Source organism: Homo sapiens, chromosome 12 (assembly GCF_000001405.40).
Source record: "Homo sapiens chromosome 12, GRCh38.p14 Primary Assembly".
Taxonomy (NCBI): domain Eukaryota; kingdom Metazoa; phylum Chordata; class Mammalia; order Primates; family Hominidae; genus Homo; species Homo sapiens.
Window position 1 is genome coordinate 95698667 of NC_000012.12, and position 14676 is coordinate 95713342.

Below are 14676 nucleotides of genomic sequence, written 5' to 3' on the forward strand. Positions count from 1 at the left end.
TAGTGAGACCCTGTCTATACTAAAAATAAAAAATTAAAAAATTAGCTGGGCATGATGGCACATGCCTGTAGTCCCAGCTACTCAGAAGGCTGAGGCAGGAGAATTGCTTGAGCCCAGGAGTTTGAGGCTGCAATGAGCCATGTTCATGACACTGCACTCCAGCCTGTGCGATAGAGTGAGACTCTGCCTCAAAAAAAAAATAAAATAAAAAATAATCGTAGCTTCTCTTTTTTTGATGAATTTCAATATGTGTTATTTAATCTTTTTAAAGGATTGCCTTAGTATGATTATTATGTTATGACATATCTATTTTCTCTATTTCTCTCACTTCTTAAACTCTGGTTTTACTTCTTGGATTAAAAAAAAAAAAAAAAGCTGAGATTAAAGTTTCCCAACTATTACTGCCAAGTTACTGTTCTATTTAAAGTGTGGTTTCCACAAACAGTTACTTCATATTGATTCTATGCTGGAATCATTCACAGTTGCTTTCAATATAAAACAAGGATGTCTATGTTGTTTATATGGTATAAAATGAACTCACGTGACTTTGCCAAACCTACAATTTGAAAGAAAAAGCCCACAAGTTACTATTTGAAGAGACCTCAATAACCTTTGGGAAGGAATGGACTGGTTCACAGGCACGAGAATAAACAAATGAAAGGTGCTTATGTTTTCTTACATGTGTAATTGTGGTAAGGTATTCTGGATTTAATTAGTGTAAAAATTGTACTTGAAAGATAGACTGAAATGGAAGCATCACTATACAGGAGGTAAAATGAAATAACTGTTTAAGAGAGATCAGTGCAAACGGAAATGCAGAGACTCTTCCTGAGAGCATCATGAGAAGGGGCTATTTGAGTAGAATGTGAAGAATGGCAATAGAGACTGAGGCAAGAGAGTCATCCACCCAAAGCACCTGCATCTCCAACAGCTGAGTAGTTTTCACCTAAGCCAGAAAGAAGGAAAAAAAAAAAAAGATCTGGATGATATAACCCTTTCTTTACAAAGATAGCTGGTTCATTTGGGTAGGTAGCCATGAAACCAGATGCTATCTTGGTAAATGCTTGGTTTGGGTTTTAGGGCAGAGAGACCAAGTTTATTTTTATTCACTCTGTGCTAAAGGGCAATTGACTACATTTATTTTGGCCCATCAGGGAGGAAGGAAGGGCATGCCAATCTTTCAAGAGGTTGTTTACTTTGACAGAGAATGAATTCTGCTTTCTTTTCCATTTTCTGATTTTCCTTTTAATATGGAGAAAGACTATGTAATAGTTTAAAATATGTGTCTTGGCATAAAAGTCAATAAATTTATTGTAAAGGAATTAACTGGTTGTTTCCTAAAAGGAGTTAATTCTGTTCTACAGGCATTTCTTTAAACACCTGTTTCAAACAGTGTATTCTTCTAAAGTGAGGATTTTTTTTTTTTTTTTTTTTTTTTTTTTTTTTTTTACTTAGGGTCTCAGTCTGCCACCCTGGTTGTGTAGTGCAGTGGTGTGATCATGGCTCACTGCAGCCTCAAACTCCTGGGCACAAGTGGTCCTCCTGCCTGAGCCTCCTGAGTTGCTGGGACTACAAGTGCATACCATCATGCTCAGCTAATTAATTTTTTTTTAAAGAGAGCTTATGCTAGAGACAAGACTGCTATAAGCAGTGGTTTTCAAATGCTGAGCCAAGAGGCCAAAAGGCTGAATCAGAGTCACCAACGATGCTTTTTAAAGGAATGCAGATTTCTGTCCGGACGCCCTGTTGGAGATTCTGATTCAGTGTATTCTGGGCAGGACTCTAAGATTGCACATTTTGAGTAAGTGCTCCCTGGTGATTCTGACCCACAGCCAGGTTTGGGAACCAATGACTTGAGGTGAGAGAAGTGGGGCTGTGAAAGTGGAGGCAAGACCTTGTCCAAACCGTTCTACTTTTGACTCAGAGTCTGAGTCTGACTTCCTGATGAAAAATGACCTGAGAGTTTGAAACTGGCCGTGGTGAGAATGTTTCAACCACAGAAATTGCTAAATGGTGTGAATCAGGTCAGGGTTCCCTCCCACCACGAACCCTGCCGCAAAAGCCAGTACACAATTATCTAGGAAGGTTATTCTCTTTTTTCTTTCTTTCTTTTTCTTTTCTTCCCTTTCTTTTTTCTTTCTTTCTTTCTTTTTTTTTTTTTTTTTGAGACAGAGTCTCCCTCTGTTGCCCAGGTTGGAGTGCAGTGGTGCAATCTTGGCTCATTGCAACTTCTGCCTCCTCGGTTCAAGTGATTCTCCTGCCTCAGCCTCCCAAGTAGCTGGGACTACAGGCGCCCTCCACCATTCCCAACTAATTTTTGTATTTTTAGTAGAGACAGGGTTTCACCATGTTGGCTAGGCTGGTCTTGAACTCCTGACCTCAGGTGATCTGCCCACTTGGCCTCCCAAAGTGCTGAGATTACAGGTGTGAGCCACCACCCCTGCTGTCACATTTTAAAAATATGCCTGCTATAGAAAAATCTACCTGTGTTATAGGTTACCAAAGTCACATAGGTGACTTTAAAGGTTTCAAGTGAGTTACTCTAAAAGAGACTATCCACTTTTTGAACAGAGAGATGAGATTCCTCAAAGTACCTCAGTACACAGTGAGAATTACATTCCCCTTTTTCCTTCTGTGCCTGAGCAACGAGTCACTTTGAGCCTCCATTTCTGTTCTCAGCCCTAGGTTCAGCTGGAGAGATTCATGTTTTCCCTTGTGTTTACAGACCTTAAATGCACTGTCCTTTCAAAAATTTTTTTTTCCTAAGCTGTAGAAATAAATTCAGTTTCAGTGATCTCCCCAGTCTTAAAAAAACAAACAACATCCCTGGAATCCTCAGAAGTGATTTCTTGGCATGGTAATGTGTAGTTGATTGTGCTGGGTCCAACAGTAGACTCTGATTAAGGTTGAAATAAAGAGGAAGTGAGAACAGGGATGATTTAATTGCTCACAAGAAATAAATCTATTGGCTAGAAGATTTGGTTCAGGGCCTCGTTTCTTCAGGTTTGATGAATTTATAACCATTAAGTAAAAATGTACACATAAAACCATAGCATTTAGCATGGTGCTTCTCAGGAGAGTGGGAGGAAAAATCTCCTAGAACATTCGTGGAACCAGTAAGTCCTTGGCTTAACCTGGCAGGAAACTAGCTACCTAACTGCAAACAAAACCCCAAGATTAATGCCATCAATATTTGTTGAATGAATCAACATGCCCAGGTACGTATTTTATTACATGTATCATAGATGCTGTGAGGAAGAACATCATCAATTTGTTTCATTTTCTAGATCAACTCATTAAAAATGACTGAGATTAGAAAGCTGGACAAACTGGCTGGGCGCGGTGGCTCACGCATGAAATCTCAGCACTTTGGGAGGCCGAGGAAGGTGAATCACTTGAGGTCAGGAGTTCGAGACCAGCCTGGCCAACATAGGGAAACCCCGTCTCTACTAAAAATACAAAAATTAGCTGGGTGTGGTGACGAGCACCTGTAATCCCAGCTGCTCGGGTGGCTGAGGCAGGAGAATCATTTGAACCTAAGAGGCAGAGGTTGTAGTGAGCCAAGATTGCGCCATTGCACTCCAGCCTGGGCAACAGGGAGAGACTCCGTCTCAAAAGAACAAAAAAAAAACAAAAAAAAAGAAAAAAAAAAAAAGAAATCAGGACAAACTGTATTTCAGCAATTTTACAGGAAAAAACAGAAACAGCCATCTAAGAAGTAGGGAGGGATCTTTTCAAGGAAGTCTTCCCTAAATTGTCCTCACTCACCCCCACACTCTCCCTAAGGCACTTGCTGTATCTTTTTCATTGCACTTTCCTCTTGTAAAATGGGTGGTAATAATGTTACCTACATTGAAGTGCTTTAGTGAAAGTTAAAAAAGTGAAAACATACACAGCCCTTTGAATAGTGACCAGAAAATAGTATGCACTCAATATACGTCAGCAATTACTATGATATTGTCATCATCATCACCACCACAGAGTACTGAAATGATCTATTATTATACATTTCTCCTCATCTAGAATGTAACATCTCTTAGGGAAGATCTTCTGATTTTCACAGACTTAATGTTGGCACAGGGGAAGCACTCAATAAATGTTTTCTGAACTAAACTGAGCTACAACTTATGTGCTTCTAGTAAATTTATCTCAACTGTTGCTTCAGGTTTTCAATGGTTTTTTTTTTTTTTGGTTTTTTTTTTTTTTGAGACATAGTCTTGCTCTGGAGGCTCCCAGGCTGGAGTGCAATGGCGCAATCTTGGCTCACTGCAACCTCTGCCTCCCAGGTGCGAGCGATTCTCCTGCCTCAGCCTCCTAAGCAGGTGGGATTACATGTGCCTGCCACCATGCCTGGCTAATTTTGTATTTTTAGTAGAGACGGAGTTTCACCATGTTGGCCAGGCTGGTCTCGAACTCCTGACCTCAGGTGATCCACCGGCCTTGGCCTCCCAAAGTGCTGGGATTACAGGTGTGAGCCACCACCCCTGGCCCAGTTCTAACTTTTGAGAAGATAAAAACTGGAAAAGAAGAGAGAGAAGAAGAAAAGGGCTGTCATATGTTCATTGCTGGCAGTCCAATAGACTAGATTGCCCAAGCCTAGTTAATATTATGTTTATGATTATTTCACTGATAGAAATGTAAGGTTCATTATTTCCTTGGTACGCATTTGTAGGCTCTAGCACTTGGAAATGGGGAACAAATATATAGAAAAAAATCTTCTAGCGTGTGTCTTCCCAAGTAAAGTCTTCATATAGATATGGCCAGTATAACAACATTTTCCAGTGTGTGCTATAGAACACGGGTCCCAAAAGATGCTTTGAAAGAAAAGCATTCTCTGGTTAAATTGGAGAGATGTCAAAACTCCGAAACAGGTTTATAATAAACATTAGCATATTAGGCTCTGAGACATACTGAAGTGAAGAAACCTTTGATTAATTTATTTCCTAAATTTGAAGGCCATAGCAAAATTTCCCCTCACATAATTTCTATTAACATTTCATAGAATTAGAACTCTGCAGATCAAACTCTGGAAAATGCTGTACCACAGAAACATATTTATTCAGATTTCCATTTTTTCTCAGTAAACCTCTACATAATTTATTCTAAAATATTCTAAGCCTATATGCACACAAATAGAGATGTAAACCTTCGTTAATTTGGATGTTTGCTTAACTAGGCTGTTCTGGCTAACTCTGAAAAATTTAACTGTAAATTAAGTGCATAGAACCCTTGTTGAAAAGCATTCAAGAGCACTCTCAACCTTAAAAAAAAATTTTTAAGAGATGGGAAATTTCTCTGCTGCCCAGGCTGGAGTGCAGTGGCGTGATCCTAACTCACTGCAGCCTCGAATTTTGGAGGCTCAAGTGATCCTCCCTCCTCAGCCTCCTGAGGAGCTGGGATGTCAGCTGTGTGCCATCATGCCTGGCTACTCTGAACCTTTAATATGATTCAATAGCTCTGGGGTAGGATCAGAGGTTCTGAATTGCTAATCAGCAACCAGATGATGCCAATGCGGCTGGTCTGCAGACCACACACAGAGTAGCAGTTTGCTTTTCTGCCTTGGTAAGCTCAGTAAAATAAATATAATAAAATTGTTATTTTGAATAACATTGTACTTGTTGTTGATGGAACCACATACTGAAATAGTTTAAATTTTTAAAATATCAACTTGTTTTCTTGATACTACCTTCCTCATAAAAGTAAAGTGGGAAATAATGGGGGGAAAACATCTAGCTATAAGAATATCGCTGTCAGCACCTCACATGAAATCTGGTAATTATAGGTACTTAATAAATGTTAAATATGTTAACTTATTTGTCATAAGCTTTATTATCAGTTATAACTGAAGCAGTGACAAAGAGGTGACATAGGGATACATCTACTAAGGAGGGAATTAATGATATGAAAATATTACTAAAGAGTAATGAAAATGCTCTCAAACATACTCCTAATCAAACAACGTAGGTAGAGAGTACGTAGGTAGAGAGAACTGGATGTGCTGATAAATGTTGGGATCTACTGCAGGCTCAGAAAAAGAGAAGAACCAGAGTAATATTCTGGAAGCAGATGCCAGTAAGGAAACGTAAGCTAGGGAAGCAGACACAGGCATCTCTGCCCCAAATGTATCCTGGAATAGTCACAAAGCGAATGGAGATAGGCTTTCCTAGGGAAGCCTACCCAGGGATCGGGGAGCTGTCTGGAGAGGGAAAGAAAGAAATACAGATCTTCCCTATGAACCCATCTACCTCCTATACATTATGCTAAAAGAACTAAATTGGTGTTGGTTATTTTCATAATTTTCCTACTTGGTGCATTAAGTACCATCCAAGTATTTGTTAACTAGGAATGATTACTAATATGACTTAGTAGTAGTAGTTTTTAGCTTCAAGTTTTTCAGTAGCCAGATGTAGCTGAATCCATAACAACATATAAGGGGATCAGAAACTTGTTACAATTATGTTAGAATTACAGACAAATATGTTACAATTACCTTATTATGTTTCAGGGCAATTTTTTTTTTAAGAGTATCTTAATGTGGTCTTGATGGAGTTTTCCTTGAAATGACTTTGGAGCCTTTGGTCTTCTGGTACTTGGGTATTATCTATAAATATACATGGCTATATCTATAAATATCAACCAGGCAATTATAGTAGATGACGCACATGGACTGATTATCAACTACTTGTTGGTAGTTCAACTCGAGAGTTACTCTTGCTCCCTGACTGAGATGTCCAAGATGCAGGCACTTTCAGCCAACCACTTACCTGCCCTACTTCCCTCATCCTCACACTGCTTTAACCACCTCCTCACTCTTTCCTGTCTCTATGGCCAGGACTTTTTTCAGTTGTCAGAATATGCTATATTCTTTCTTCCTTCTGTTCCTTTTTGGCAAATCCTGTTGATTTTTCTCTCTGATGGGAATATCTCTACTCATGCTTTGTTAATTTCCATTAAACTTCAGGTCTCAGGTTCTCAAAACTCAGAACACTCCACTCTTGCTGACTGCCCCTCTGATGTGCTCCCCTCCACACTCCGTAACACAATACTTATTATACTTCTGTGTATGAGTGTGTGTGTGTATACCACTAGTTGCCTATATATACATATGTGTATGTATACATTACAGATAACTCACTAGACTTTGTTAGCTTTGTCAAAAGATGGTGTCTCTTTTGCTTACAGTTGTAATTCCCAGAAACTAGCACACCTAGCACATAGTAGCACTGAGTAAGAATGAGTTGAGTGAAGGAATAAGCTTTAAAAATATTCTAATTGCTCAAGTTCGTTGATGAATGTTCAGACATTTTCATGGATTGAAAAAATAATAAAAAGTTACGGGTGTTGTTTAATTTTAGCTGCATTCTCACAATTTGCTTATGTTTTTCACAGACCTGGTAGTTTGGGAACCAAAACCTATAGAACTTGTTTTGCACAAGTCTCTAGATGAGCTGTATAAGTAACAGTAACTACTAACAAGAGGTCACTTTTTTTCCTAACTCCTCTTTCATACTCTTTTTATAAAACTCTGAAGCTATGAGTATTCTAGGATTTAAAAAGCTAGGGCTGGTGACCTTTTTACATTTAGTAAGAATATGAGCCATATCTTGAACATAGAACAGTAACAAAAAAAACTAAAACAAAATAAACAAAAAGGTATTTATTTTGGCTCCAACTTTGCCAGTAAGTGTTTTCTTTTTTCTCTTTTTAATTGGTCAGACTTAGGCACTATAAAAGGGCTTCATCTGTTTTAATTCTTTGTACATTTACCTATCTTATGACTTTACAAAGCCAAACAATTTAAAAATCAGTAAAGTAAAATGCAATGAATAATATGTAATGCTTTGAAATTAATCTGAGCTATACATCATTAAAATACATTGCAAATATATCACACTATACTAATTGAATTATTGTGATGGCTCCTAGTACCCTAGAAAATAAATACCAACATTTTTAGGTTGGCAGTTAAGGCCCTCTCAAATCTAGCCCCAATCAATCCTCCAACGTTTTCTTGCACTATTCCCCTTGGTATTCTACTCTTTATTCTAATGGAAGTGACTAGCTGTTTGCTACACAAGCACATAGAAGAGGCTCAAATGTTAGCAAAATGTTAGAAACTGGCTTTGTTAACCAATGTAAAATTTGGGGGGGCGGGGCATGCTTTATTGAGATCAGTGTTTCTCAAACTTTACTGTGCATCAGAATCACCTGGAGGGCTTGTGAAAACTCGGATTGCTGGGCCCCATCTGCAGAATTTCTGATTCAGTTGATCTGTCTCAGGGTCCGAGAATTTACAAGTCTAACAGATTTCCCAGGTGATGCTGATGGTGCTGGTCCAAGAGCCACACTTTGAGAATCACTAGTTTGCTTGCTAACTTCAACTAAAGCTGAATGCTGAAAGTGCAAGTTCAATATGAATTGAGCTGCCTTTGTGTAACACAAGAACAGTCTTTTGAAAACTAAGTCAGACCATGCCACTTCTCTGCTGAAAACCCTTGCAGTGGCTCATCATTTTACTCCAAGTAAAAGCTGGTGAGCTTACAGTGGCTCATCAGTACATATTAGATTTTCTCCCCTCCCCAGTCACCTCTCTAGTCTCATCTCCTGACACCCCCAACTCTCATTCTGATGCAGCCACGCTAACCCCCATGTTATTTCCTTTGTCACATCAGGCACCTTCCTGTCTTAAGACGTTCACTTTAGGTATTCCCTCTCCTTAGAATGTTCTTTCCCCAGTTAACTCTTTGGTGAACTTCTTCACTGTCTTCAAATCTTAGCTGAAATCTCACCTTCCCAGTGCTGGGGACTACCCTCATCATCCTGTCCCTTACTGTACCCTGCCACTCCTCTTCCCACCCCAAGCCCTTGGTTCCCTGGATCCCTTCCCTCTTGTTTTATTTTTTTCTTCTTTGATGACACTAGCCCTTATGAACTTCTCACATACTGTATATTTCACTTATTAGTTATATTTATTGTCTGTCTCCTCTATCAGAATATAAGCTCCTTGAGGGCAAGGATCTTTGTCTTATTCTCTGATGCATCTTAAGCACCTGGCACATAGTAGGCGCTCAATAAAAGTAACTGGATGAATGAATACATGAACACATTAGGTATACTGTACAGCATACTGTTCAAGGAAATGCTATATAACTGTATCTTTTTGAAAATGTTACCTGTTGCCCTACAAGATAACTTATCCAAGTTAGTGACAAATTATTTTTCTTTTCTCTTTTATCTGCTTAGTAGTTCAGACATTCTCATTTTTAGACATTTCTACTAGTGGTCTGAGGCTATGGGATACACACGTATATATATCTATTCATTTAAACATATTCTGTACAAAATGGTGTCAGGACTATGTTCTAAGACACCATTATTATAAGCAGAGACCATTTTGTTAGCACATGGAGATTAGGATCTATATTTTAGACCCTAAGGAGCTGCAGATTTTAAGGAAGTAATTATCTTTAAATAAGGTATTTTTGATCAATAAAGAGTAGAAACGCTATAGTATTATTTTCCACTTTCTGGCTTATAGGACATGACAGTTATTATAATACTAGTTTTCATTTTTATTTCTTTATTGTTATTTTATTTATTTATTTATTTATTTATTTATTTATTTATTTATTTATTTTTGAGACAGAGTCTTGCTCTGTCGCCCAGGCTGGAGTGCAGTGGCATGATCTCGGCTCACTGCAAGCTCCGCATCCCGGGTTCACGCCATTCTCCTGCCTCAGCCTCCCGAGTAGCTGGAACTACAGGCGCCCGCCACCACGCCCGGCTAATTTTTTGTATTTTTAGTAGAGATGGGGTTTCACCGTGTTAGCCAGGATGGTCTCGGTCTCCCAAAGTGCTGTAATTACAGGCCTGAGCCACTGCGCCCAGCCTCTTTATTGTTATTTTTAAATATAATATTAAAAATAGAGACAGGGTCTTCTTCTGTTGCCCAGGCTGGTCTCAAACTCCTCGGCTCAAGTGATCCTCCCACCTCAGCCTCCCAGAGTGCTGGGATTACAGATGCGAGCCACCCCACCTGGCGTAGTTTTCGTTTCTTGAGGGCTTATTCTATGACAGGCAATGTGCCATCTCTTTTATCTTATATACACACTTTGTCTTATATAGTTCTCATTACACTACAGGCAGGAATTTTACATATGAAGAAACTGAAGTCTGAAGAGCTTCAATAGCTGGCATAACATCACACAGCTGGCAATTGGCAGTGAAGGCATTGAATCTACATCTGTTTGAAACCTATTAAATATTACAAAGTCTGAGTACAAACAAGGAGCAGGAGTAAAACAGGATGCTGGGAGAAATATTATGACACAGATCCAGATTTGGGGCTTGGTGTGGAAAGTGAGCAGTACTATATTTTATCTGCCATTATTTAAGAGAAAAAGCTTTTAACAAGCAAGCCTGTTCAAATTGCACATTGATATCTTCTCCCTGATGTTAAAAAAATATTTTTAAAGAGCAATATAGTTTTTCCTTTAAAAAACTCGCAAATAACCCCAAGGTTTTAAATGCTTATTTCCCATTGTAGTGCTTTCTTCCTGTCACTGTTTTTGAGCTAGAACATGGAGTCCTTGGTAGGGAAAGGAAGGGCATGATCATCAATCTCCATTAATAGTCTTGAGTGGCTTCTGTTATCTGATGATTTCTGAGCTGAGAGAGGGTAAATACTGATGTGGTTAGATGAGCTATTCATCCACAGTTGACATTTACATAAGCCCTGCATGCACCCTTTACATTCACATAATTCAGATAATGTCCTATGAATCGGATAGATCTTTTCAAATTCTATTCTTTTTTCAAATAAACCTCTTTTTCTTTTCTTTCCTTTCCTTCCTTTCTCTCTCTCTCTCTCTCTCTTTTTTTTTTTTTGGAAAGGTTTGGCTCTATTGCTCAGGCTGGAGTGCAGTGGCACTATCCCAGCTCATTGCAACCTCTGCCTGCTGGATTCAAGCCATCCTCCCACCTCAGCCTCCCAAATAGCTGAAACTACAGGCCTACAGCACCATACCCAGCTATTTTTGTAGTTTTTGTAGAGACAGGGTTTTGCCATGTTGCCCAGGCTGGTCTCGAACTTGTAAGCTCAAACGATCCGCCTGCCTTGGCCTCCCAAAGTGCTGGGATTACAGACATAAGGCACCATGCCTGGCCTCCAAATAAACCTCTTCTCAGAGTTATGTCAATAAAAAAGCAGAACCCATGCTATAAGAGTTTAGTATTTTGGGGGAGAGCATAAAATTAATATGATTTCCTAAATTAGTTATGATAGTGAGGATACATTAGAGCAGTGTCAATCAAAATGGATTTATAAGGAAACCAAAACTAGTCTTTTTTCATGTTTAAGTTCACTGTTAAGGTAAAAGAATAATCCAAGTGCAGTAACTATCCTTTATTTCATCAGCTTGAGTCCATTTATTGTCTACCTTCTACTCACAAGTAGTCTTAAGATCTTAAATAGCTCTCCCTCTTCATCACTCTTTTTTCTATTAGTCATCCTGTTTACCAAAATGCAGTGCTATAGGAAATAATTTTACTTTATGGAGAATGAGAAAGGAAATTACTTTGATGAATATTATACTGTTTTCACCCAACTGGTTGAAAATTCTTGCCTCTTATCAATGAAGAAATTAACCGATATCTGTGAGTGTGTTATCTCAGAACCTCAATGACCTCCTTCTTTTGGGTTAGCAGAATGAGGGATAAAGAGATTCATCTCTTGTACAAATCAGCCTATTTTCTGGAAACCACAGGTTACTTACGTTTGCAAGCATCTGGAGCTGAGAAGGGTCTCCGCAGGTCACGATAGAAGCCTGGCTTGCACCTCTGGCAATACTGTCCTTCTGTGTTGTGCTGACAGTCATCACAGACACCACCACTACGATTCCCTGATGCCTCCCACACATTAACGTCGAAGTGACAGGTATCAGCATGCCCATTACACTTGCAGGCTGGAAATAAGAAGCGTGGAGAGAAACACTAATAAGTAAAAATAAAATGATGGGTTATCTCATATTCAGATAGGTAAAAATAGGATGAGTTGGCCAGGCGTGGTAGCTCACACCTGTAATCCCAGCACTTGTGGGAGGCTGAGGCAGGTGGATCACCTGAGGCCAGGAGTTTGAGACCAGCCTGGCCAACACAGTGAAACTCCATCTCTACTAAATACAAAAAAATTAGCCAGGTGCGGTGGCACACGCCTGTAGTCCCAGCTACTTGGGAGGCTGAGGCAGGAGAATTGCTTGAACCCAGGAGGTGGAGGTTGCAGTGAGCTGAGATTGCGCCACTGCACTCCAGCCTCTGTCTCAAAATAAATAAATAAATAAACTAAAAATAGGATAAACTGATTGTTAATGTTTAGTTTTAGTTTCTGAGTAGTTAACAATACAAAAATCAAAGCAATATAGAAAGGTATCCATTGAGAAATCTAGCCTCGGCCTCCCCATTTACCCTGTTTTTCCTGATTTCAATAGGTTACTACTTTTTTTTAAAAGGGTTTCTTGTGTAGCCTTCCAGTTTTTCATTATAGGCTGTTAATTAAAAAAAATAAGTTTCAGGAGATGCATGAAAATCAACAAAGTGTAGATTTGTCTAGTTGGGCAGAGATATTATGATGAACTTACCAACGGGGATTGACATTTATTATGGAAAGATTACAGGAGTGACAACCAGTTTTTTACCCTCTCTTTTGGTAACACTTCACAATTCCCATTCCTGATACATCTCAAGGGTCATCCCTGTGGGTCTCCTGTCCTTGCTAAGAAAAGCTGAGATTGTCAGGCCTTATGTGGAAAGGAGCATTCATATTGCAGATGTAGGCATGAATTCATGCTTACTAATGAGCCTGGAAGGAAGCTTCTGGTGGACAGAGCTTAGTAAGTTGGCAAGTAGATTGATTTATCTTTCATAAAGTATATTCTTCAGCTGTTGAACTGGTGAGTAGAAGGTGGACTCCTATTGAAGCCTCAATTTTCTTACAGAAGAGGCCTGCAGTATTTATTATATAACAATTCTTCAAAGGCATTTCTAAGATTATAAGTCAATAGCATCAAGTGACATGTCTCTGTGTTCTATACGTATTTAGATAGGCAGCTGATTTCTGTGGAAAGAGCCAGAAAGTCACCCTAGGAATTCAGGAGAAATTCTTTAGATTCTCTTCATGAGTGATTTAGAATAAGAATCCAGATTTTTGTGGAGGTCAAATGTATTTGAAAATGTTTGTGCTATTGTTTTTCATTGTTTCCTTGATGTGTTATGAAATTCTGACCAGATTCATATCTTTTAAAAGTATATTACAAGATAATTTAAGATGGATTCTTACAGGAAATCCTTTACATTTCCTAGAAACAAAAACAAATCAGTTATGACTCCAAATTACGTATGGGAAGAGACTTCTCACAGTTTTACCCACAGAACCTGCTTTTAAATTCTTGTAAAAGAGAGGTTCGTGAGCGTTAACATTGTGATGGGCACGCGCATTTCTCTGAACATTTTAAATTGCAAAGAAAAAAATGGCTCATGTTCCCATATTTTAACCTTCCTATTTAATCTCCAGCCTCAAACCTCAAGTTAGTTAGTCCTTGTAGAGAAATCTCATTCTTAACTTACTGGCTTAATTTCAAATCTAATCTTTCATTTCAAGCATCATAAAGTGAAAAAAAAAGGCAATGTGGTATTATGGGAAAAAGTACCTAATATGGAGTCTTGAAACTTGGGATCAAGTCCCCACTATCATTTACTAACTTTGGCAAATCACTTAATCTTACTGAGCCTCAGTTTCCTGATCTCTATAATGGGATTAACACCACGTGCTTTATTGGGTAGTTTTGAGAACTGAATTCAACATAGCTATTTTCATGTTTATAATTCACCATCTCAGCAATGAGAGTACAACAGAATCAGATGTTCTCGTGTCTATTCATGTATTTATTTATTTATTTAGAGACAGAGTTTCCCTCTGTCACCCAGGCTGGAGTTCAGTGGCGTGATCTCGGCTCACTGCAACCTTCACCTCCCGGTTTCAAGTGATTCTTGTGCCTCAGCCTCCCAAGTAGCTGGGCTTACAGGTGCACGCCACCATGCCCGGCTAATTTTTTCTTTCTTTCTTTCTTTTTTTTTTTTTTTTTTTTTTGTATTTTTAGTAGAGATGGGATTTCACCATGTTGGCCAGGCTGGTCTTGAACTCCTGGTCTCAAGTGATCCACCCGCCTTGGCCTCCCAAAGTGCTGAAATTACAGGTGTGAGCCATCCTCCTGTTTTTATTATGTCAAATTATAAAAGAGTTCTTAGCTCCCACAAAGTATCCAAGCAAATAGGCAACATATTCTTGGCAAAACAGTCACATTGGCAATGTAATGAACGGCAACTGTTTTCAGTGGCTGAAGCCTCAGTGGGCAGTGATATGGCTATGTTTGTGTAGGGTCTAGTGTTTGTCACCCACCACTTTGTGTTGTATTTCTAGAGACAACAAGGAGTCCACAGATGCGTTGACTTTACAAAGAAAGCTTTTGAGTATCGTGGGCTTGTTACTTACTTCTGCACTCGTTGGGAGCCCCCGTTTTGCCATCAGCTGCCTCCCATGGCCGGTCATTGTATAACGGGGCACAGTGCTGGCAGTGGCTGCCTGCTGTGTTGTGCTTACACATACACTTCCCATGGACCTAC

At 39.1% G+C, this 14676-nt stretch overlaps 1 protein-coding gene across 4 annotated transcripts in view, besides 2 other annotated features; it reads right to left on the minus strand.

Annotated features, from left to right (window-relative positions):
- NTN4 (netrin 4) overlaps positions 1-14676 on the minus strand; it is a 133349-nt gene that overhangs the window by 40860 nt on the left and 77813 nt on the right. For all 4 annotated transcript variants that reach the window (NM_001329701.2, NM_001329700.2, NM_021229.4 and 1 more), the window contains exons 4-5: positions 14546-14672; positions 11775-11963 (exon numbers count right to left, since the gene is read on the minus strand). In NM_001329701.2, the coding sequence (NP_001316630.1) occupies positions 11775-11963; positions 14546-14672 (316 nt within the window). The remainder of the gene's footprint in view (positions 1-11774; positions 11964-14545; positions 14673-14676) is intronic.
- Positions 1656-1725: an enhancer, noted in NCBI's record as "active region_6812". NCBI's record gives its function as "activates an Ori minimal core promoter by ATAC-STARR-seq in GM12878 lymphoblastoid cells {active_cell/tissue: GM12878}" and the evidence as "EXISTENCE:reporter gene assay evidence [ECO:0000049][PMID:35858748]".
- Positions 1776-1825: an enhancer, noted in NCBI's record as "active region_6813". NCBI's record gives its function as "activates an Ori minimal core promoter by ATAC-STARR-seq in GM12878 lymphoblastoid cells {active_cell/tissue: GM12878}" and the evidence as "EXISTENCE:reporter gene assay evidence [ECO:0000049][PMID:35858748]".